Source organism: Homo sapiens, chromosome 3 (assembly GCF_000001405.40).
Source record: "Homo sapiens chromosome 3, GRCh38.p14 Primary Assembly".
Classification (NCBI taxonomy): domain Eukaryota; kingdom Metazoa; phylum Chordata; class Mammalia; order Primates; family Hominidae; genus Homo; species Homo sapiens.
This window is the reverse complement of record NC_000003.12, coordinates 122,965,103-122,988,514: the sequence shown is the minus strand read 5'-3', so window position 1 is coordinate 122,988,514 and position 23,412 is coordinate 122,965,103. Positions and strand designations below refer to the sequence as shown.

General features: G+C 49.4%; 1 protein-coding gene across 17 annotated transcripts in view, besides 5 other annotated features; it reads left to right on the top strand.

Annotated features, from left to right (window-relative positions):
• The window catches only part of SEMA5B (semaphorin 5B), a 119,524-nt gene that overhangs the window by 40,091 nt on the left and 56,021 nt on the right, over positions 1 to 23,412 (top strand). Inside the window, exon 1 of one of the 17 annotated variants that reach the window (NM_001256347.1) lies at positions 12,381 to 12,515. The exons of the other annotated variants lie outside the window; for them this stretch is intronic. Within the exon in view, the coding sequence (NP_001243276.1) occupies positions 12,392 to 12,515 (124 nt within the window). The 5' untranslated portion in view covers positions 12,381 to 12,391. Of the gene's footprint in view, positions 1 to 12,380; positions 12,516 to 23,412 lie in introns of those variants that run through there. 17 annotated transcript variants of the gene reach the window in all.
• Positions 5,089 to 5,589: an enhancer, noted in NCBI's record as "H3K4me1 hESC enhancer chr3:122701773-122702273 (GRCh37/hg19 assembly coordinates)". NCBI's record gives its function as "activates a minimal SCP1, AML or CMV promoter by ChIP-STARR-seq in naive H9 embryonic stem cells {active_cell/tissue: H9 hESC(naive)}" and the evidence as "EXISTENCE:reporter gene assay evidence [ECO:0000049][PMID:30033119]".
• Positions 12,355 to 12,434: an enhancer, noted in NCBI's record as "active region_20389". NCBI's record gives its function as "activates an Ori minimal core promoter by ATAC-STARR-seq in GM12878 lymphoblastoid cells {active_cell/tissue: GM12878}" and the evidence as "EXISTENCE:reporter gene assay evidence [ECO:0000049][PMID:35858748]".
• Positions 12,510 to 13,275: an enhancer, noted in NCBI's record as "H3K27ac-H3K4me1 hESC enhancer chr3:122694087-122694852 (GRCh37/hg19 assembly coordinates)". NCBI's record gives its function as "activates a minimal SCP1, AML or CMV promoter by ChIP-STARR-seq in naive H9 embryonic stem cells {active_cell/tissue: H9 hESC(naive)}" and the evidence as "EXISTENCE:reporter gene assay evidence [ECO:0000049][PMID:30033119]".
• Positions 13,136 to 13,185: an enhancer, noted in NCBI's record as "active region_20388". NCBI's record gives its function as "activates an Ori minimal core promoter by ATAC-STARR-seq in GM12878 lymphoblastoid cells {active_cell/tissue: GM12878}" and the evidence as "EXISTENCE:reporter gene assay evidence [ECO:0000049][PMID:35858748]".
• Positions 13,276 to 14,040: an enhancer, noted in NCBI's record as "H3K27ac-H3K4me1 hESC enhancer chr3:122693322-122694086 (GRCh37/hg19 assembly coordinates)". NCBI's record gives its function as "activates a minimal SCP1, AML or CMV promoter by ChIP-STARR-seq in naive H9 embryonic stem cells {active_cell/tissue: H9 hESC(naive)}" and the evidence as "EXISTENCE:reporter gene assay evidence [ECO:0000049][PMID:30033119]".

Below are 23,412 nucleotides of genomic sequence, written 5' to 3'. Positions count from 1 at the left end.
CCTGCTGCTGTCTGCCTGTCCAACTGGTTGCTTCATTCTCAGTTTCCCATTCCGCCCCTCCAGTGGGATCCAGGTGGTTGGGGTTCTGTAGACTTGACTTTAGCACATGGAGGATACAGACGGTGTTTGATTTTAGCTGGGTATGGGTTTTGTCCTCTCCCTTCTGCCTCACCTCCACACTGGGGTTTCATGCTAGAGCTGGGTGCCACACCTTCTTTTCAGGAAACCTGGCTGTGAGTTCCTGGCTCTGCCATTAAAACCCTATCGCCTCAGTTTCCTCACCTACAAAAGGAGGGGTTTTCTAGAACAGTCATTCTCCCTGTGTGTTCCTTGCACCAGCAGCAGCAGCATCACTTGGGGACTTTTTGAAATGCAGATTCTCGAGTCTCACCCCAGAGGGAGAATCAGGATCTCTGTGGCTGGGGGCCAGCAGCCAGGGTTTCTGCATGGCTTCTGGGTGGTTCTGATGCAGCTCAGGTTTGAAGACCACTACTGTTGCACATCTCTGAGGCCCCCCTTCCAACTGCACTTCCTTCTATGGCTGGTCTCAGCATTTTCCAACTTGCGGTAAGTAACCAGTGACTTGCAAAGATCCAGTAACCACATTCTGGAGCACTGCCAGCTATTTTGCAGGTATCATAAAATTCTCCAAATTGAAAAAAAAAATAAATTTCAAAAACCCAACCCCAACAAAACTCACTACTTATGTCCTGATTTTTCCAGAAAGGGATTCAAGGTAGTTTACATCCCCATTAATTTCAGTGGCTCTCTTCTCCCAGTCCCTGTCAGGAGGAGGCTGCAGAGGTATGTGTGCAATCCAGTGACCAATACAGGGCGTCCGTCCATAGCACACACCATGGCCACCTGAGAACCTCTGCTGCCCCAGCAGCATAAACACTCCTGCCCTTTCCGAGCCTCTGGGGAGAGTGGTGCCTCAGTGATTTTCATGAGGGCTCTATCCCCAAGGAGCAGAATGCCCAAACATCTCTCTCCTGCTGCTGGCATTTAGCCCATTGCTGAGTTAATTCAAGCAGTGCTAATAACCAGTTTGAGGGAGAGGACCTCTTGCAGACCCCTAAATCCTACTCAGTGGGGTGCTGATAGCAGGATAAGAATCCTGCCTGCCCACCTGCAGCCATTCAAAAACAGCATGTAAAAGGCCCGCCACTGGCTGGATTCTGTGGAGATACCAACAGAAGTAGAACTTTTGTCCCTGTCCTTTGTGAACCCACTTATGGGGGGGACAAGACTGCATCTTCAATGTTTAGTAGATTCCCCCCTCCACCTGCATTTTTCCCTTCCCAGGACTTTACCCTCTCCAATCTCTCTCTCTCTCTCTCCCCTGCCTTCCCGGCATCACTTTACTGGAGGTCCTCAAACCCCAGCCCATCTGGCTCCATGGGGTTAAGTGCAGCATCCCTTTTTCCGCCGGTTCTGTGAGGGCCCAGCCCCAGCTGAGACCTTTCCTGGCCTTTCTCTGGTCTCCAAGGAGCCTGCAAGAAATGCAGCCTGAGAAAACAGCCTCCCTTCCCTTCCCCCACCTCTCTGTTCTTCTTCCCCACAATCCCGGGCCCCACACAAGCTCCCCAAGGCCTGCTAGCTCACGGCCGGGCCCTCCTAAACTCATGTTTTATGCAGGAACATCCCCATTCTCATGGAAAGTGCAGCAAAGTTTGGGAAAGAATTTCAAACCTCTTTTGAAGATGGTAGAGCAAATGCAGGGTTATAGGGTTAACTTCAGCTGAGAGTTTTTTCTTGGCTGAGTGGACACCCCCTTGGCAAATGAGTGCATGTTTGTATGTGTGTGTGTGTGTGTCTGTGTGTGTGTTCCTTTCTACCCACCATTTGCATTGCAGGGAAGTAGAGGGAAGACCAGCACACTTACACACCACACACACACACACACACACACACACACACAAATATGCTCTGGGCCTGCCTCATCTCCCAGTGCCCCCTCCTGCCTCTCTTGCCTTATGAGGAGCAACAGGAGTGACTTATCTTGGATTTAAACATTCTTTGGATGCACAGGGAAAAGAGATCATTTGTTTTTCAAATATTAGAAGGAAAATGAAAATTTGTATGCAACTTTGGTTTTGGTGATTTTTCAGAAGATCTCATGTCTCTTTGTTTCAAAATGTCAAAAATGGTTGTATATAATTGATTTAATAAACATGTAACTAGCTTTTTGGGTATATCAAATTGTATGTTGCAGTTTGCTCTGCTAATAATTTCAAGTTTCCCATTATCAAAGCACCTGTCCTTTCAGAAGTCTCGCATCCACTTTCTTCTGACACTTTTTAATAAGTAGGCAAAGGCTTGAACAGAAGAATCCATCTACAACACACTTAGAGTAAGACAAAGGACAGTATTATGCTTTCTGGACTTGGTGTTGGCAAGAAACAGAAAAGCACTTATTTTCAGAAAAGGAATTGTGAAAAGAAAGGAGAGGGAAACCTTTAAATCTCATTGAACACAATTTACTCCATAGAATTTTATCTAATCAGCCCCATTCTTTGAGCCATCACCTTGAGTCATTTTTGATTCTACTAACACTTCATTTTTATCATCTTCCCAGAGTCCTGAAAACTGAAGATTTGCCTAAATTGGGACAAGCTTCTCTCTCTTTTCACATGTTAATTTATTTCTTGATTTGGACTATGTTTTTCCAAATATGGCTCCATTTCTTTTCACATGTAGTAGAAGACGGAAGGGGCAGATTGGAACCATAGGCTGGCGTGGCCACCCTGTTGGGGGATGGGATTTGCTTGGGAGATCCCCTAGCTTTCTCCGAGCTCACACCTCCTCCCGCAAGATTCCAGCTATCTGCAGCAGTGAGCAGCTGGGCACTGGGGTTTGGGAGCTTTCTGGGGGTAGATCTATCAAATGCTGTGGCCATTCCCCTTTTACCTCTTCATAGATGTGCCTCCAAATCCTAGATCCAGTACTTTCACAGAAGCTGGAGTTGCTGGGGACAACATTTTTCTCATTTTTCTTTTTCTTTCTTTTTTTTTTTTAAGAGACACTGTATCACCCAGGCTGGAGTGCAGTGGTGCAATCATAGTTCACTGCAGTCTCCAACTCCTGGGCTCAAGGGATCCTCCTGTTTCAGCTAGGACAGAGTAGCTAGAACTACAGGCAAGTGCAACCTGCTGGGCTAATTTCTTAAAAAAAATTTTTTTAATTTAGAGACAGGGTCTTGCTATATTGCCCAGGCTGGTCTTGAACTCCTGGCTAGAAGCAATCCTCCTGCCTTGGCCTCTCAAAGTGCTGGGATTACAGGTGTGAGCCACTGTGCCTGGCCATTTTTCATTACAGTAATCCATTTTTAATTCCTCTGTACTTATAAGTGGAAATGTACTTGGATTCTCAGGAACAATTGATTTTTCTGTAGGTCATTTGGAAAGGAATGTCAAACAAGTTGCATCATTATATGCAGACGAAAAGATTGATGTAGCTTTTTTAACTTAAAATCTTATGGTGTAATTTTTAGGAATGGTTGGGGAACATAAAAATACCCTATCCTAGACACTTTATTCATTCTAAAAAGTTTTAGGATCCAGAAACGTATTTGAAATCGTGTATTTCAAAGAAGTCTTTGGGAGAAACAGGGGGAAATTATTTTTTTCCCCTGTGATTTTTCTGGGCCTTTACATTTTCAGTTGTGTCCCTGGGGAATTGCCTGTGTCAGACAAATTTAGAATAAAATCTAATTTCCTCTTTCCTTCTCTGAAGCTTTCTTTTTAATTACTTTTTTTTAAGTAGAACTTTTTTTCAATTTAAATTTTCCTTCAGATTCAGGGGATACATGTGCATGCTTGTTACATGGGTATATTGTGTACTGGTGGGGATTGGGCTTCTAGCGTACCCATTACCCAAATAGCAAACATTGTACCCAATGGGTAACCTTTGTCGTTATTCTTAATGAAAACTATTTGTGATGTGCCCAGGATTCTGCTGTGGGTTTTTGTTGGAGCAGAGGAGCCCCAGAGGGAGAGAGAGCAAAGAGACAAAGACATGGGCCCAAACAGAAGCCACAGACGGACGTGAAGAGGCATGGGCATATTGGCAGCCCCCGACTGACAAGCGACAGCAAAGGGGGGTTTTAGTGGCAAACCCAGATGCTCTCCTTCTGAGGCCACCCCTGCTGCCCAGAATGGGAGTGATAGGGTTAGTGGGAGGACCTCCAAACACTTTGCCAGGCTTCTTCATTAGCTGTGGGATTGGGGAGGTGAGGCAGACAGACCTGAGGGGAGAGTTCCCGCTGGACCTTCAGAGCCCGCCTCCAGCTTCCAATCCCTGAGGGATGGCCCTATGGCCCTATGTGAATGAGCCTACAGGGCCACGGCGGGGGGCGGGAGACAGTGAAGGAGAAGAGAAGAAGGAAGGTTACTCGGAGAATTATGGGCAAGCCCGCCATAGCAAAACGTTGTAGGAAGGCAAAGGCGGCCTGATAGCTGTTTATTTCTTTACTCCTCTGCACGTAGGACCAATGATGAAGCGTATGATGAATTTCCTAAGAGCCAAACTCTCGGAATGACCTGCCCTTGCTTCTTTCTCCTTCCTCCTCTTTTCCCTACCCCTTACCCTGTCCCTTACCACTCCCTTTCCCTCTGCTTCCACAGCAGGGGTAAGATAATCACAACACTAACATTAGTGAGCAGTTACTGAATGCCAGGCTCAGGTGAACTGGCCCTGGTCAAGCAGGTCCTGCCCGACTCTTAAATTCAATTTGGTAAACATCAGTAGCCTCCAATCTACCTTTTTTTTTTTTTTTTTTTTTTTTTTTTTTTTTTTTGAGACGAGTCTCGCTCTGTCGCCCAGGCTGGAGTGCAGTGGCGTGATCTTGGTTCACTGCAAGCTCCGCCTCCCGGGTTCACGCCATTCTCCTGCCTCAGCCTCCCGAGTAGCTGGGACTACAGGCGCCAGCTCTTTACATCATCACCCAAGTCAAGTAATAGGACTCTGTCAGCCATTCTAGAAGCTTCTCTGTGCTCCCCCAAAAGTAGCTTGGCTTTCTCGTGTGTCTTTATAGGTTTTTTTTACCACCCCGCCCCGTCCCCGCCCCGCGGATGATTTATTGTGCACAAGGTGAGGCTCCAGCTTCCTGAGCTCAGAACAACCCATAATGCATTGAACCTGCAGGAGAAAAAAATTAAGTTAGACTGCAAAAAGATTGTTCAGGATTTTAGAATACTAGAAATAAGTGACATGAGGACAGAGAAAAAAAATGAAACAAAACCCCCCCAAAAAAATCCTTGAGATGACTTAGATGTACTTCTGGTTGGAGGCAGGGAAATAAAGGAGACGAGCCTTGAAGATCACCCCAATGCCTGGAGCTGCCCCTCAAAATTGACTGGCCACATGCCCCTTGCCTCTTCTGACCAGCAGGAGGTTGAGGAGTGCTGCAGGTGGGGTTGGGGGAATGGACACCAGTGATCACTTCATCCCGCAGCCGCCCTGCCTGGCCAGCTGGGGTCGGCCTGGTGTCTCTAACCCTTCCTTCTGTGATCAGAGGCACGCTCTTCCTCCTGAAGTCTTTAATCCTGCCTCAGCCGGTCGGAGAGAGTGACTCTCGAAAGAGAGAATGACCAGCTGGTGGACAGGCCTGGGAACTGAGCCCACCCCATTCCCGGGTGACCAGGGCAGCCGAACAAATACACTCTGGCCCTAGGCCCGAGGGACATCAGGCAAGGTGCCTGGAGGAAATGGGGCAGTAGAATAAGAGGAGAGTGAATGGTCTCCCTGCTTTTTCTCCATTCAGTGTGTGGTTTCCATGGGACTCTAAGTGTGTTTACAGGCAGCAGACCTGGGGGGTGGGGGGTGGTGCATGAAGGGATCTGGGCTGCATGGCTGCAGGGACTAGAAAGGGAAGACCAGGGTTGGTGGGGAAACAGGAGGAGGGCTGGGGCACTTGAAAAAACCAAATAAAAAGTTGGCTGTTGAATGCTTTTTGCCAACCGTAGTCAATTCTTAATTATCCCCGTAATGGGCGGGAGCGGTGGCAGAAATCATGCAAAGTAGCAAACAATCCCAAACCATTTAAGCTACATGATTTTTTAAAAGAGAGAGAAGATTTCCCTTCCTAATAATGTCTGGCTCAGGCTGATATTAAATGAGGGAAGTATTAACAGTGAGCTCCCCAGGGATCAAGGCTAGAGCCAATCTTATTTAATGTGTTTATGAATTATTTAGCATCCACATTTCCTGATTTTGTGAACCAGTGCTGGGAGGGGGCTGTCAGTCCTCTCAGGAGCCAGAGGAAACCCTCTTCCGGAGACTATGCCCTCACTAGAGGAAATCCTCCACATGGGAAATGAGGAAGGGTTTGGAGGTGTCAGGCCAACCAGCTGCTGCTCATGGGACATGAGAAGTCAAGAGACTCGACCCTCCACCCTTGTCCTACCTGTGGCTAAAAGGAGTGTGGGTCTCTGCTCTAAAGCATTGCATGGCTCCCAACCTCTCTCTAAATTAAGTGCAGCCAAAGCCCTCCACTGTACGGTCCCAGCCTCTGCTCCTGTCACTCCAGCCCTGACTTGAGGCTCACAGCCTGCAGGGGCTGATGACCTGCCATGGTAACATGGCCAAACGCAAAGCACTTGGAATTATACCCAGACTTCCGACTCAGAGACTCCATCCATCCGTGTCACACCAGATCCTGGTTGCCTCCCAAACCCACATCACCTGTTTCTGGAATGAGACCCCCTTCTGCTTCTATCTACTGTCAGGATTCTGTCTATCTCAAGTGCCACCTCCTCTGAGAAGCGGAGAAGCCTTCCCTGCTCCAAAAGTGTTCTTTCTCTGCTCAAAAAACAGTGCCTGTGTGCCTCTCTCATGGCTTGGTTCAAGCTCTGCCTGTGTGACAGCCTCAGTGTTCTTGTCTCATTCTGCCTCCAGCATGCTGCTTTGTCCTCGGTGTGCTGTTCAGGAGTTCGTTGAGAAGAGAATGGGGACCTCCATGGGAAAGAGAGTAGGAAGTGAGTGTAGGAAGTTAGATCTGACTCTCATAGGCCAGACATGCTCTCAGGGATGTAGTGACCTTATTTCCCAATGGGGCCCTACCTGTTGGTTTTCCCAGGAAGCTGTCAAATTCGCCTGGCCACACATGAACCAAGGCTGGGGTCACGTCTTTCCCTTGTGGAACATGGAGCAGCCCTGGGACGGAAGTCCTCCCAAAGTGGGGTGCCCAGTCCCCTACCTCAGCATCACCTGTGGCACAGGGGCCCAACACAAGCCCCGAGGGGCCTAGGACCCACATTATGACCAGCTCTTCAGGTGTCTCTTATGTTATGCACAGAATGGTCTGAGAACTAATCCTAAAGGGAGGGAGGGCAGTCCCCTGGGATTCGTGGAGGGCACTCAGAGGGGGTGCACAAGCACATGTCCATTTAACACACACCAGCCTGCAAGAGCCAAGTGTGTGTTCATGCCCACATTTATGGGTGCCACTCCAGTAACTATGTCCATTCTTTCTTTGCCATGTCCCCGAAGTGCTACCTGGTGACGTGCTTTAAAAAATAATTTAAGGATACATGCTACAACGTGGATAAACCCTGAAGACATTATGCTAAGTGAAGTAAGCCAGACACAAAAGGGCAAATACTGTAAGAATCTGCTTACATGAAGAACCTACAGTAGTCAAATCAGAGACAGATAGTAGAAATGGTGGCTCTCAGGAGCAGGCGGGGAGTGGGGATTGGGGAGTTACTGTTTAATGGGTAGAGTTTCAGCAGGGAAAAATGAGTAGGTGCTAGAGATGAATGGTGGCGATAGTACACAGCAGTGTGAATGCACTTAATTACCCTGAACTGGACACTGAAAGATTATTAAAATGGTAAATTTTGTGTTATGGATACTTCACCACAATAAAAATAATAATAATTTGGGCCATTGCCCAAATGGAAGAGCATCCAGGAAGAGCACGGCTGGCCAGAATGATTGGCCTTGGTCCTGGTCTTCAAGCTCTCCAGGGAAGCTGACCATCAGTCACCACCACCCACCCCAGCATCCCTGAAACAGGGAGCGCTTCCTTGGTCCTTTTTTTTTTTTTTTTTGACACGGCTTTTCACTCTTGTTGTACAGGCTGGAGTGCAATGGCACGATCTCGGCTCACCACAACCTCCACCTCCTGGGTTCAAGCAATTCTCCTGCCTCAGCCTCCCGAGTAGCTGGGATTACAGGCATGCACCACCACACCTGGATAATTTTGTATTTTTAGTAGAGACAGGGTTTCTCCATGTTGATCAGGCTGGTCGCGAACTCCCAACCTCAGTTGATCTGCCTGCCTCAGCCTCCCAAAGTGCTGGGATTACAGGCGTGAGCCACCATGCCCGGCCAATTCCTTGGTCCTTTAGATCCACACCAGAATACATCATCCTGGGACTGGGATGGGGTTTTGTGTCATGAGTCAGAGATTGGCTTAAGAATGAAACAGAAGAGAAATGATACTTTTTAAGTGGGGGATGTCAGTAGCAGAGTCCAGTACAAAATGTGGGTAACATCAGCAGCTTCCAAGTGATGAAATGTCAGGCGAGCTATTGCGTATGGCCCAAATAAGTGTAGCATCACTTTACCCTGGATATGCAAGGACACACATTTAGGGGAAAATAAAGTCATATCCACAAATGGGGAGTTGCCAGTGCTCTGACATAACCCAGTAAATCTAAGGCGCTGTTAGAAATGTTCCCTTAAAGGTTTTGAGCCTGTATGCTGGTTTGGCCAAAACAAACAGCCAGATAGCCAGGCATTATTGCAAGGGGGCTGGAGACAACACGGTCCCGGCCTTGGGAAAACCAGATGGATGGCCTGTTGTTCCTTCTTTAAGGGATTGTCTTTCTGAAGTGAGATGAAATATCTACCTGGATCCCAGGACAGAAAGGAAAAAGTGATGGGGGGACATCCCAATTGTGAATCCCCCTCTCCCTTAAGGCTGCCATAGGGTAACATGTGGATTTCATCTCCAAGTCCCTGAAATCACAACAAGAGAGAAGGGGAGCCCCTGAAGGCAGCCAAAAGAAACTGTAGCACAAATGAAAGTAAGTGCTATTTACACAGCAGGAAGTAAACTTATGTGGAACTGGGAACCCCCAGAGGTGGCACAAGCTAAATCCGGGAAGAGAGTTGGGAGGATGTGAAAGTGTTCGTGGATGGCGGGCTGCTTGGCCAGCTCTGCAGTCCACATCAGGCAGAAAACCATTTCTTCCTGGAGACACCAAGGCGATCTCAGAGACAGAGGGGCTCTCTGCTGCTCCGATCCTGAATGTTCTCCTCGGCGGGTCTTTCCACTGTCCACGTTCACCTTGTCTTGTCCTGAGAGCGAAGGTGTCTCTGGTCATCCTCTCTCAGTTATAACCCTTCAGACACCTGAGGACTTTGCTTCTTCCCCCGCCTCCCATCCCATTTATCCCATTGTTCTTTTCCAGCCTGCAGAGCCCCAGTGCTTTGTCCCTTCTTTTCAAGACATTCTTTGTGTCTTGCGTCTCCCTCTCTGAACCGCCTTCGGAGCCACTGTGCGATGGCTCACAGGGCAGGCTGAAGATGGCCAAGCAAGACCTGGGCAGGAGGACGAGCATGAAGGGAGCCAGGTGACATTTGAGGTTGCACAGAAGGGGTGGAAACAGAGCAGCCCAGAGCTGCAGGATGTGGTAACAGGTGTAAAAGGGGCCTGGAATAGTGGCAGCACTAGCCTCCTCTCCTCTTGTTTTACCCTTTGCTCAGTTGAGCTGAACATGCATTTATTGAGCACCTATTTACTCCCCATCACGCAAGGCCCTGAGGATGAATGCCTCTTCTGACACGAAGCTGGCTGTCCATGCCTCTCCACCCCTGGAGGCTGCCCAGCGGAGGGGTCTGCTCCCAGCCTTCTATCACACTGAAATGTTTAGAACGCTGGTCCTGGGAGATGGACCTAACCCACCACCGAGAGTCTCTTTCTGCCCAGACCCTGTCATTCTCTGGCAGTTACCTATTTAGCTGTAAGGTTTTCAGGAACATAACTCTAATCACCAGTCTATGGGAGTCTATTAAAAGAAAAAACCTAGCTCTGTCATCATGGGCTTGTACAGCCCAGGGTTGATTTTCTTCCTTTCTGAAGTGTTTGGGATGCTGCACGGGTCCCTGTGGCCCTACGCCCCGCCTCCCCAGCCTGCCTGTGAACATTGAGCTGCTCGCTTCCCCAGCTCAGTGAGTGGTTCTTTTCAGGGGCAACCGACTGCACAGAGATTCCTGAGCCATGATCTCATCGGCTCATGAGAGGCCGAGCACGTCCACCCACCGACTCGCATGGGACAGAGAAGGGCACCCTGGGGCCCAGGTGGGGCCAGGCCTGGTTCAAGGGTTTGCCCTTTGGGTTAGTGCCAGTGCTGGTGGAGTTGCCCTCTGCCTATAATTCTGTCTCCTGCGTCAGTCTGCAAACTCAGCTGTGGGTCCCTGCCTGGGGGCAGGACTGGCTGGCTGGTTCCGCATCTGCCATCACTCCACTGGGGGCCATTCACAGAGCCCCTAGGACACAGTCTTGCAGAGGTGGTCTGGCCCTGGCTCAGATGCCTTGCTGCCCACACTCCTACCTCCAACATCCCTTTAGTCGGCAAATATTTATTGAGTGACAACTGCAGTGCTTCCCAAAGTGGGCCCATGGAGCCCTTGGATCGCAACCATCTGGAGGGATGGCTAAAATGCTGGCTTCTGGGCATTGTGCCAAGCCTAGTGCATCAGAATCTCTGGGGTGGGGCCTGGAGACCTGCATTTTAATTGGTTCTCCCCAGTGAGACTTTTGTACTCTAGTGTTTGAGACTTGCTGACTGTGGTGGTTAATTTTATATGTTAATTTGGGTGGGCCACTGTGCCCAGATATTTGGTCAGACATTATTCTGGATGTTTTTGTGAGGGTGTTTTTGGATGACATTAACATTTAAATCCTAGGAGCATGAGAGGCTGGCTAGGTAGAGCTGTAGTCCCTGTTGCCAGCCCTGACTCTTCTCTGGGTAGAGGGTTCTGATCCTGATGCTCTCCATAAGACAGGACTGAGTTCTAGGAGTGCCAGACTTAGCAAGTAAAAATATAGGTTGTCCAATTACATTTGAATTTCAGGTAAGCAACAAAGAGTATTTCGGTATGAGTATGTCTCATGCAATATTTGGGATGCACTTATGCTAAAGAATTATTTGTCATTTATTTGCAATTCGTTTATTATTCAGCGATCCTGCAACAGCTCTGGACACCTTCCTCCTCCAGCACGGAGTCAGGGATTACTTTCTGTTAACCATATGGCCCTTTACAAAGGGCTTTCTCAAATGTGATCTCATTCAATCCTTGTAAGAGTGGGACAGGAAGGCATAGTAGGCATCCTCCTCCTCCTCCTCATTTCATAGCAGGAGCTGAGCCTAAGAGACTGTCAGTTTCCCACCTGGGATCAGAGAGGCCCTGACTGCACAGTGTAACCATCTGGAGGGCTTTTTTTCTTTTTCAAGACAGAGTCTCACTCTGTTGCCCAGGCTGGAGTACAGTGGCCCGATCTTGGCTCACTGCAATCTCCACCTCCCCGGTTCAAGTGATTCTTGTGCTTCAGCCTCTCGAGTAGCTGGGATTACACGTGCGTGCCACCATGCCTGGCTAATTTTTGTATTTTTAGGAGAGACCGGGTTTCATCATGTTGGCAAGGCTGGTCTCGAACTCCTGACCTCAAGTGATCTGCCCGCCTTGGCCTTCCAAAGTGCTGGAATTACAGGTGTGAGCCACCGCGCCTGGCCCCGGAGGGCTTTTAAATCACTCAGATGTGTTTGTGTGATGTATATGATGTCTGCAACTTACTTTGAAATGCATCAAAAAATAAAATGGATAAGTGCATGGGTAGATAGATGTGTGATAAAGGAAATACAGCAGAATGTTGGTGACAGAATCTAGATGGCGGGTATACAGGTGTTCACTGTGCAGTCTTTTAACTGTTTTGTATGTTTGAAAATATTGATAATAAAATGTTGGGAGACAAAAAAACATGGATGCACAGGCCCAACCCCAGATCAATTAAATCAGAATCTCTGCAGGTGAGGCCCAACCAGCTGTATTTTTTCAAAGCCACCCAAGTGGTCTGATCTAACCCATCATTTCTCTCTGTGTACCAAGCATCACCTGTAGGGTACAGGTACCTTACATCAGTGGTTCCCCAACTGAGTGTGCAATAGAGTCTGGAGGGCTGGTTAAAACACAGATTACTGGGCCCTGCCCCCAGACTTTCTGATCTAGTAGGTCTGGGGTGAGGCCTGAGAATTTGCATTTTAAACAAGTTCCCAGGAGGTGCAGATGCTGCTGGTCCTAGGAGCACATTTTGAGAAGCACTTCTTGCATCTGCACAGCCCAACACAGGGTGAGGAAGTGATGAGAGTGTATAAACCACATGCTGCATCTGTCAGCAGAGGAAGCCATTGGCTGCGTGAGGGTCAGAAGGAGCTTCATAGATGAGCTGGCATTTGGGAGAGGGCATTCTACAGGGACGGGCAAGCAGAAGCGAAGGGATCGAGGTGGGCAAGTGCATGACATGAAGAGTTTCTAGATTTGGGATGTGTTGAGGAGGTTGGATGGAGGGGGAATGGCCAGAGAGGGGGCAGGAGAGGGAGTCTGAGGCAGATGGAGAGTCCTTGCTATGCAGGGTGTTTGGATTTGGTTGTGTAGGCAGTGGGGAGCTGGTGGGGGTTTTAAGCAGCAGAGTAATGTGACCAAATCATTGCTGTAGACTGTGTTCTGGCAGCTTTGTGTAGGATGGATTGGAGAGGAGAGATGAAAGATAGGAAGCGTACTTAGGAGGCTATTGTGAGCGTCTGGAGAGAGAGATGGAAGGTCTGCATAATCACAACACTAATAATGATGATAAAATAGTGACTGACATTTATTGAGTGTTTTCTAGGTGCCAGACAGTGCTATGTGCTTCCGCAAACATTATCTTTTAATCTTCACAACTGCCCTGTGTGGTTTTACGGTTGAGAGAACTGACTCAGAGAGGCTAAAGGAGCCTGGGCTGGGATTTGAGCCCAGGGCTGCATGTTTTGTGGTGTGAGTGCTCAGTGTCGACCCAGGCTGTGCCGAGGCAGGGGGGTGGTGGGGAGGAGAAGTGGGAGAGCAGGTCTCTGCCTTGGTCTCCGCCTCCTCAGGCAGACATCCGTGTTCCCTGGCTCAGGGGCTCATCGTCCTTCCTTCCTCTGCCAAGGCTGAGGCGCAGCTGGACAGGGGAGCATCCATCACACTCCTTTCCCGCCAGCCAGCAGCGGCAGCTCTCCTGGCAGGCAGGGGATCAGCTGTGCCTCTCCTTACTCCACTGCTCCTCACCCCTGGACCCAGGGCCCACCCTCCATCTCTCCTTGTCTGGTGCTGCCCACGTCTGCCTGCAGACCACACCTGTGAGCACTTGACTAAGTCTTCTGGTAAGAAAATGACACGGTTTCCCACTCCCTTCCATTTCTCTGCTGTCCTTGTGGGCCTGAGCAGAGGACACTTCCAGGCTCCCTCCCCAGAATTCTTGCATTTCAGATGCTCCTCCAACAGGCCTCTATGAAGATAACTCTATTCCAGTTCCATTGTGGAAAAGGAGAGCTGGGGGTGGGGGCTGGGCCTGCAGGGTGAGTCATAGATAAAGTCCTGCAAATAGTAAGCCTGTTAGCTGTTATTCTTATTATAACTGAGCTCTATGAATATGGAACTTAAGGGGCTTGGCACCAATGGCCAGGTTTAAAGAGAGACATTCATTAAGCACTGGAAGGGTTTTGTCAGCCCTTGACCATCTTTCTGTCTCCAAGAAGGGCTTCGTTTATACCAGATCAGAAAGAGCTCACTGTGCTTCTCTTAAAGACCCCCCTCCCCTTCTCTTCCCACCCCCTGGCCCAGGGCTGGAACTCTCTATTCTGCCCACAACCAAGCCCCATGGCCTGCTCAGCTCCTGGACACCATCCACCTGAGAAGTCCTCAGGCACGTGTCCCTGCCTCACTCTCCCCAACCCATATACCCAAACCCAGAAGGACCAGTCAGCTGCCTTGTAGGTGCTCAGGGCTGGGGCAGCAGTGAGGCTGCATCATTGCACCTGCAAAGAAGCTTTGAAGGAATGATCTGGATCTCAGGCATGTGCGCAGGCGAGTGTGCACCCACGTACACATTCCTATGTCTGGGGCAGTAGTGGTGGTGGAGTCCCAGGCCTGGCCTTCACTCAGACCTGTCTTTCACCTGTGTGTGTGCAGGAGCGAGGGGGCTCACCTGGCAATGGGAGTAGGGCTGGGAGCAGTTCCCAGAAATGCTTCTGGCCAGGGCTGGACAGTGGGTTTGTGCTGGTCCTTGTTCTTTCTCCCAGCCTCCACTCTACATCAGCCAACCACCTGCCGGCTTCTCCCTCCCCGCCTGCAAGCATGTGTCACATGGCGGGAGCAGATGGGGGGTGGTGTGCCTGGGCTCTCTCTCCCCTCAGCCAGCCATTTGCTCTCCAGATGGATCTGGGCACTGACAGGGTGTACATTCGGGGAACGGCAGCCTGCTCCTAGACGGCCCGAGGCTGTGCCCTGCTGAGCTGGAACACAATTATGTTCTGGAAGTTCAGGCATCTGAGCTGGCAGGACCCAGAGTACCAGGTATTGGGCCTGGTGAAGAAGACTCACAGCCCTCCAGAAGGAAATCCTGAAAGGGTTTAAGGAATTTCTCCCTACCTTCTCCTCCCTCTCTGCCCTTCCCCACTCCCATACCTCTGCCCCTCTGTCCTGGGCTCCACACTTGGTGGGTTGCAGATTCCCAGAGTGGGACAGGGAGGCTCCACATTGCCTGCCCTCCTTGGGAATCTACAACCCCCCAAGTTTGCAGCATCGTTCAGCTCCAACACAGACCCCAGACACTTTCCCTTCACTGTTTCACTTACTGCACAAACACCATCATAACTGCGATAACATAAACCAAAAGGAACAAAACTCTGTCCATTTCACGACCTTCACAGATGAACTGGCCTCAGTGTTCTTTATTCCCTTCTGGTCTCTGTTGACGTTCCACCCCTCCTCACTCATTTTCTTTTTTCCTCTCTAAAAGAGGAAAGGGAGCAGACTGCGGCACCCTCCACTGCCCGCCAGGCTGGACCCCACTCATCTTGGGGTGGGGGTTTGAGGTTCTGCTTTTGGCTGGTCACATGGCAGAGGCTGAGTTGGACTAGCTTATGTCCTCTGGGTTAGCAGCTCATTGGCTGCCTCTCCTCAGGGCACTAGAGGCCCAGGGCCACTTGGCACCTAGACTAGAAGCTAGGGGTGTAAAGGGAGAGAAGGACATAAACATAGCCTGAACACAGGCTGGAGTCAGGGGCTCAGACTGGGATGATAGTCCATCATTTCTCTTTCCTGCCCCAGTCTCAATACTGCCCACTCCCCAAAGAGAGTATTATGAGTGATTTTTCTGGAGACCTTGGGATCTAACTATGGTTACCTCTTAGATTTCCAAAACAAGGTGTATAGACACTCTGAATGACCTGTCATTAATCTGTAGGGGTTCTCCCACAGTTTCCAGGCTCCCAGCTCCCAGTGGCTGGGGACCTTATCCAGTGTGAGCCATCACGGCTTGACTTGGGGAATAAGAGTGTTTCTGGGAGCCTGGATAGGCTGCGGGGTGGGAAGGCAGACCTGGGCTAACTTCCCACTCTGAGCATTTGGATCTGTAGCTGCTCTCAGGGCCTCTGGCTTCTCATCAGTTAAATGGGAGCCATGACAAGCCTTCTGCAGACTTCACAGGGAATCTGATGGCATCGTGGTTGTGAAGAGTAGCAAGGACCCATCCACATGAAGGGGATTTGCATGATTCCTGACACTACCTTTCTGCTGGTCACCTATGCTGCACCCAGCGCAGCATCCCAACAGCTCTTACCGACTCAGGTGGGGGTCTCTCTCCCCAGTGCTGGCCCAGTTACATCTGTGGGATCATCTGGAGCCAGTGGTTAAAGGGCTGAGTAAAGTCAAATAATAGCACAGATAATGCAAAACAGGGTGTGATTCAAGAACAATTTTTAATTTTAATTTTATTTGACTCATATTTCAAGGGTGACTGATCCAGGCTGAGTTTTGCACACACATAACTGGATGAGGGGAGAGATCTGGAGTGTGCCACATGCCAGGGAAAAGGGCTGGCATGCTTTATACATGGGCAGCAGAACCATTTGTGTTACCATGTGGCTTGGAGTTGCACTGATTTAGATACATCTTAAGTCACTGCACACTCTCCATAACATTAGTTCCTGACTCCAAAAAGTCTGTTTCTGCTACTTTCCTGGAAAAGCAGGGGAGACCAGTGTTAGAGAGAGCTTTCACCAACTGTCGGCCTATTCCTTGTCACCACAGACAGTGGAGTAAGAGGGTTTAAGTTGCAGCAAGAGGAAAAGTAAGTCAGGTAGTGGCAGAGCTTCCTACCTGGAGCAGTGAGGGACTCCTCAAAACTCTCCACACTGGAGAAGTGACCCAGCCATGGTGGATCGATCAGCGGATCCATGTGGACAACAAGCGTTTGTTGAGTGCTTGTTCCGCTCTCAGTGCACAAGTATCTCACCTTCACAAGTCTGTGAAGAAGTTGTTATGATTGCTGTTGTTGTTGCTATCATTATTCTCTCTGTTTCAAAGAGAAGGGAGGCAGCGGGGCCCAAGGATGCAGAACACGGTGCCTGTTGCTCCCACTGGAATCATGTCTATTGACGAGTTCAGGAGTGGCTGACATCAGGGCTTGCACCATGGCTTCCCATTCCAAGTCCATGCTCTTCTCACCGTGCCGCACCTGCCTTCCAGAAAGCCTTGGGGAAGGCTCCTTGGGCAGAGGCCCACCAGCACCCATGCAGCAATAAGTGTGTGAACACCTTCCCCACTGGGCATTCAGGAGGAGAGACTCACTTTCATTCATTCAATAGACACGGGCTGAGGATCCAGAGGTAAATAAGACCTTATTCTTGCTGGCTCTTGGCAGACCTGTTAATATCTTTGCTTCATGCCCCATGATGGATTTGGAAAACATTTCCGATCAATTACCTGAAGCAGAATTATCACCTGCCACATCTCCCTTCTCAAGGCTGGCTGCTTTATGAGTGTCTACACTTTCAACCATGAGTGGGCACATTAGTGCCTTTGGCTAAGAGCAAAGATTCCCATAGTCCCTTTGGTTAAGAGCAAAGATTCCTTGCACTTTGTTCCACCATTCAGTCATTCTCTCATTCAACAAATAATTCAGCGTCTCTTATGTGACTGGTGCTGGGTTAGCAGCTAGGGATATAGCACTGAGCAAAACAGACATGGTTCCTGCCACCAGTTTGCAGACATTAACCAGATAATTCTCCCATCCTGCTCTGATGTATTCCCAAGGACTAAGGTGGTTTGTTCAGGAGTGACTTCCTCAGGCCTGGCACTTCCAGGGCACTATGCTGCCCCAGGGTCAGCCCTCCTGTCTCCTGGGAATTATAGGCCACTGGGTAGTGCTCCAGGACCAGGTCTTTATTGATCATTCCCTTTGGAAGGAGGCAAAAGACTCTCCCCTCTCCAAGCCTTCTGGCTCTTGATCCAGCCCTTCCTGTGAAATGCCCCTGATGGACAAACTTAGAAGGGTCCCTAAAGGGAAGGCTATTCTGCTCAACCCCCAGAAAGAGGGTATATTTTGCAAAGAGGCCCTGTTTCTCTGGGCAGTTTGATGATTTGGGAAAAGCATGGGCACTGGAGTTAGGCTGATGTAGATTTCCGTCCCAGAATTGTCCTTCCTAGCTGTGCGACCTTGGGCAAGTCATGAACATCTCTGTGCCTTAGATCCTCAGCAGTAAAGTAGGGGCAATAATACCTACCTTGCAGGAAGGCTGTGATGATTAAACGAGATGTTCATGAAATATTTGCCATTTAATAGATGTGTCTCACCCTTTCTTCTGACTTTTAACTTCTAAAGGACATGATTACCTCTTGAGCTGACACCAAAAAGAGGCTTGCAAATACTAAAAGGTAAGGAGGTGGGAAGCTCTCTTATTCTCTAGCTGCTGGGCTATAGCAGTGGTTCCCAAAGTGCGGTCCCTAGACCGTAAGCATCACCTGGGAACTTGCTAGAATTGCAAAATCTTGGGCTCCACCCTAGATTGACTGAATGAGAAACTCTGGAGAAGGGGCCCAACAATCGGTTGTAACAAGCCCTCCAGGCAATTCTGATGCACATTAGTGTGAGAACCACGAGGCTGGAGACTGCAATCCAGTTGTCAGAGGGCCAAATTCTTTCATAGATGTGTTTTGTTTGGCCTCTGTCATCAGCTGGAGCTGAGGAGCAGCTGTCCCTGAGAAGTGATGGTGCCCTCCTGAAGGGGTTCACAGTCCTGGCTCTGCCATTCCGTTTTGTGTGACACCAGCTGGCCTCACTTGGCTGCCCACCTGCTGTGGGCACCCATATTTGCAGCCCGGGCTCTAGGTCAGGGGCAAGTGTGGTTTCTGAGCCCTAGAGAAGTAGCAGTTCTGCTTCAGCTGGTCCTGAACATCAGCCGAGACACGGAGCCACCCAACTCTGCAGGAAATAGGAACAGGGTGGACAGCTTTCTAATTCCTGAAACCAGCAGCCAGGTCCTGCTGGTTGAGCTTCAGTATTTGGCTTGAAGTGTTGTGAATTCCCAGCACATAACACACACCCACATTCAACTGTAAGTCCAAAAATACCTTCCACAGCCAAATAGAGATGATTCTTACATTCCCCACTACCTCAGATTATCTGCCTCGCTGCTCTCTGCCACCCCCGCTGTTGGCACAAACTAATAAGCAGTGACTTTCCCTGCGTCAGGGAACTTGGGAAAGCAGAAGGGGCCAGTGACTTCAACACCCGCAGCAGTGAGTGGGACACAGAAATATCAATGCAGGTGGGTGCCAGGAAGGCTGGAGTGACCTAGGGGCTGTGATGTCCATGAGGTGGAGCAGAATGGGAGTGGAGCTGGGAGCTCTCATTGGAGACACTGGAATAGAGAATTACGATCAGAGGCCCTGGCAGTAGCAGGCATACTGACCAGGAGAGAGAAAGAAAATGCATCCAGGACACAGCACGGGATAGGACGCAGGGAGGAAGCTCTGGGCAGTGGGAGAGGAACTGGGCTGGACTCAGCTTTGGATACAGGGAATCAGGAGGAGACCTGGGTGGTATCCCTTCTCTGTGCCCCCACAGCCAGGAGAGAGCACCTTCACCTTCCTTCCTGGTGAATCTGTCTCCAAAGCATCCCTGGAAGGAGGTGGGAAGCAGGCTGACTAAAAGCATGCGCTTTGGCATCAAAGAGATCTGAGAGCAGATCCGGCTCTGCCACTTCTGGTGTGACTTTGGACAGGCCACCCAACCTCTCTGAGCCTCAGTTTCCTCATCTGAAAAGAGGCAGTAAAGCTTATTTTATAGCCATATGGTGAGGATGAAATGAGATCACATTTGAAAAATAATTAGCACACTGTCTGTCATAGAAAAAAGAACAGGAGAAAGCTTAGATATAATTAAAATTATTCGAGCACAGAACCCATGTATTTTCACCAGAAGTCCTGGTATCTGGGATTTCACAAGTTGGGGATCATTGGTGAGAAAAATTGAGTCAGACGTAAGCATTGGTAAGTGAACAGAAGATGTTAGAATGCTCAAAAGAGGGGATCCCCAAAGAGAGAAAATGACCTGCCCCAAGACTTATGGCCCATAGCCTTTATTAGGACCCTTGAATGTTGGCTCATGTGGCAGAAAAGATGTAAGAATGTCCTGACAGTGATGGGTACCAAACCCAGCTGAGGTCACCAAGAGATGTGGCTGGAGTAAAGCTACCCTGGACTGAAGGAGGAAGTGTCTTGCCTGGTGCCTGGAGGATGGACAGGATGACCTCAGATGCCCACAGAGACATTATTAACCATAGGAAGATCCAAACTGACCTGATTTCCACTGCCCTTTCATTTCTACTGGAAAGAAATGTATTTCCAGTAGTGTTGGGGCGGGCGTTGGAGTAGGATACATATAGTGCAAACAGCTGCTTCTCCCACCCTTCCAATCTAAGAGGCACAGCACCTTGGGGCTGGATCCCCATCCTATCCCGCTACTAGGTCACCCCCAAGGCGACCGTCCCTCTCTGACTCAGGTTCATTGCCTCTAGGGAGGCAAACCCTGAAAAAAGAGCCTGGGGTTGGTGATTTGCATCCATGAATTTCTGTCTCTTCACCTGTGTAAATGGTCCAGAGGAGAATAAAGCAGACCATAATTATCGCAATTATAATGAGAGAGGAGTGGCATAGATGCAGAAGTATAATCCAAATTAAACTGTGAAGGAGGTAGCTACATCACCTCCCAAGGCCCTTTTTACACTAATACTCTGTGAGTCTCTGAGCCTAAACCATCCTGGGGGCCCAATTCTGATAATGTGGTGACATGAAGACCAATTGATTTTTGGATTTACAGTTTTCTGGGAAAGTGTTGCTGGGCCTTGGAGCGGATCTGCACATTTTCTGGAGAGAAGGTGGTAGCCGGGGAGGTCAGGAGAGCGTGGAACACGTGCTAGCTCTGGTCAAGGCTGCAGTCCTTGGGCGGGCTGAGGGCTGGGCCCGGTGCATGGTCTCTTGTGCACGCAGAGTGAGTGAGAGGGCAGAGCCCTGGGCCAAAAGAGAAGTCTGCAGAGCTTAGTCTTGACACCAGCCTACTTCTTCCCCTACCTCCTTCTCAGTCCTCCTCTGGGAAGGCAGAAAGGGCCTAAGGGCCTATCTCAGGCCAGGTTTCCCTGGAAGAAGCAAAGCCTGAGCAGAGATTCTTGAGCAAGTGACTGAGCAGGTAGTGTCCTCCAGAAGAACCAGGGTAGAGCACAGGATGAGGCCAAGGCTACATGATCCCACGATCTCATGATCCCACGAGGAGCCCTGGAGCATGAATGGCACCACAGAATCCATTGCACCTGGAGATGTGGGGGCTGGGCTCCTATACTCCTCTGTCAGCTGGTGATTACCCAAGAGCTTTGGAATGGTGGTGAGGGTTGTAGTCTCCAGGAGTCTGCACTGGGTTAAGGGCAGGCCTCTGGAGAAGGTTGCAGGTGTGAACCATTAACAGCCAGTCTGGATGGGTGCACCCACCCACAAATGGGGCAGGCACCAACAGCACCTGCTACTCTTTCTCTCCTAGGAAATGCCACGTTAATTCAACTCGAGAAGATCCTTGCTTACTTCTGAAGATAGTTTAGAAGTCGTGTGGGGGTAGTTAGGAGGAGGAAATCTAAGGTCCTTCACCACCCTAAAATCTACAAGATTACATTCAAAAGTGAATAATTGCTGCGATAATTCTTCCAAGATTTGTCACATTTAAAGGCTTATTATAATAAACATTCTTAAGGCTGGGCACAGTGGCTCACGCCTGTAATCCCAGCACTTTGGGAGGCCGAGTCAGGCAGATCACCTGAGGTCGGGGGTTCAAGATCAGCCTGACCAACATGGAGAAACCCCCGTCTCTACTAAAAATACAAAATTAACCGGATGTGGTGGCGGGCGCCTGCAATCCCAGCTACTCAGGAGGCTGAGGCAGGAGAATCGCTTGAACCCAGGAGGCAGAGGTTGTGTTGAGCCAAGATAGCACCATTGCATTCCAGCCTGGGCCACAAGAGTGAAACTCCATCTCTAATAATAATAATAATAATAATAATAATAATAATAATAGTAATAGGCCGGGTGTGGTGGCTCACGCCTGTAATTCCAGCACTTTGGGAGGCCGAGGCGGGCAGATCACGAGGTCAGGAGATCGAAACCATCCTGGCTAACATGGTGAAACCCCGTCTCTACTAAAAATGCAAACAAAAAATTAGCTGGGCGCGGTGGCGGGGGCCTGTAGTCCCAGCTACTTGGGAGGCTGAGGCAGGAGAATGGCGTGAACCCAGGAGGCGGAGCTTGCAGTGAGCTGAGATCACGCCACTGCACTCCAGCCTGGGTGATAGAGCGAGACTCCGTCTCAAAAAATAATAATAATAATAATAATAATAATAATAAACATTCTTACAATGAATTTCCATGCTGAGTTGGCACTCCCATCACACAAAACTGTTGCTGAGAGTGGTTGTTTCACTTAAGGTGACCCAGCTAGTCAATGTAGTCCATGTCTGATAGTACAATTTCAGGCAGTACTACAGACTTCTGGGACTATTCTTTTTAGGAGGGGCTCTTCTCTGAGCAACTCTTTAAGTCACAAACCTCTTTGCACCCTCCAAAGCATCAACTTCAAATGAAAACATTTATCAACTGTCTTCAGTGTTCAAGACACTGGTAGGTCCTGGAGGCTGAAAAAGGAAGTGGTATCTGCCTCCCAGGGTTTGCAGTCAAACCAAGAGCCATATTTGGAGCAAATGGGGAGGTTTGATTAAGTGCCAAATAAGAGTGTGGGGGGCATCATGGGAAGTGGGGAGGAGGAGGGAACTTCTAAAGGGGAGAGGTGTTCCAGCATGGCCTTCTGAGAAGGGTCTGGAATCAGAGAGATTCAAGTTAGCTGCTGGAGGGTCCCTTCCTTCCAGCTGGTTGTCGCTGGGCCACCTGTGCCAAGAAGTGGCACATCCAGCCATTCATGTATCCACACAAACCTGTGTCGGCTGAGCTCCCACTGTCTGGCAGACTCTGAGAGGACTCCCTCAGAGCTCCCATCTCATGTAGCCATGGCCCACTCTACTATCTGCTTTCCAGTTCTTAATCCTGGGTCCTGGGCCATCCAGATTGGGAGGCGCTCTGAGCAGCATGTCTGCTCTTCACTTTACCCCACTCTAATTAAATAAGTGGTTACTTACTTATCTCCCTAGAGAGAAGAGGTTTTAGGGTAGGGAGTGTATCACTTAGGAATGCTTTTGGATGCATGTAACAGAAAACACCATCTACAATAACTTTAAACAGAGAGATTCATTTAATCACTTCACAAGAGGTTTCGGAAGTGGCAGCAGCTGCTGGTCTTTGCTCACTGGCTCAACAGCATCAAGGTATTCTGTTGCCCTCTTGGCTTGTCTCTTGTCTTATGGTTAAAACAGGGCTGCTATAGCTCAAGACATCACATTCAAATGCAAGGGAGGAAGGTGGAGAAAGGAAAGGGATTGGTGCCCACTGAGTCTATCTCTTGTAAGGAAGACAAATGTCTTCCCAGAGCCTGTAGCAGACTTCTGCTTATTTCTCCTTGGTCAGACCTGGGCACCTGTAACTTCAAAAGAGGCTGAAGAAGCAAGTGTCTCACCTGAGGCTGGGAACATTGCCACTCTGTGCAATGTGGGAGTTTATTATCGAAGACAATGGGGGAATGAATTTCAGGGAGGCAATCATGTTAGCCACAAAGAGAGCTGGGGACTTCCTTGTATAATCCGAGGCACTGAGCTCCTGCCCCCAGCTCCTGCCCAAGAAACTTCTGGACAGTCCCTACCACTGAAACGTCAAGCTGCTTCTTCCTAGTCT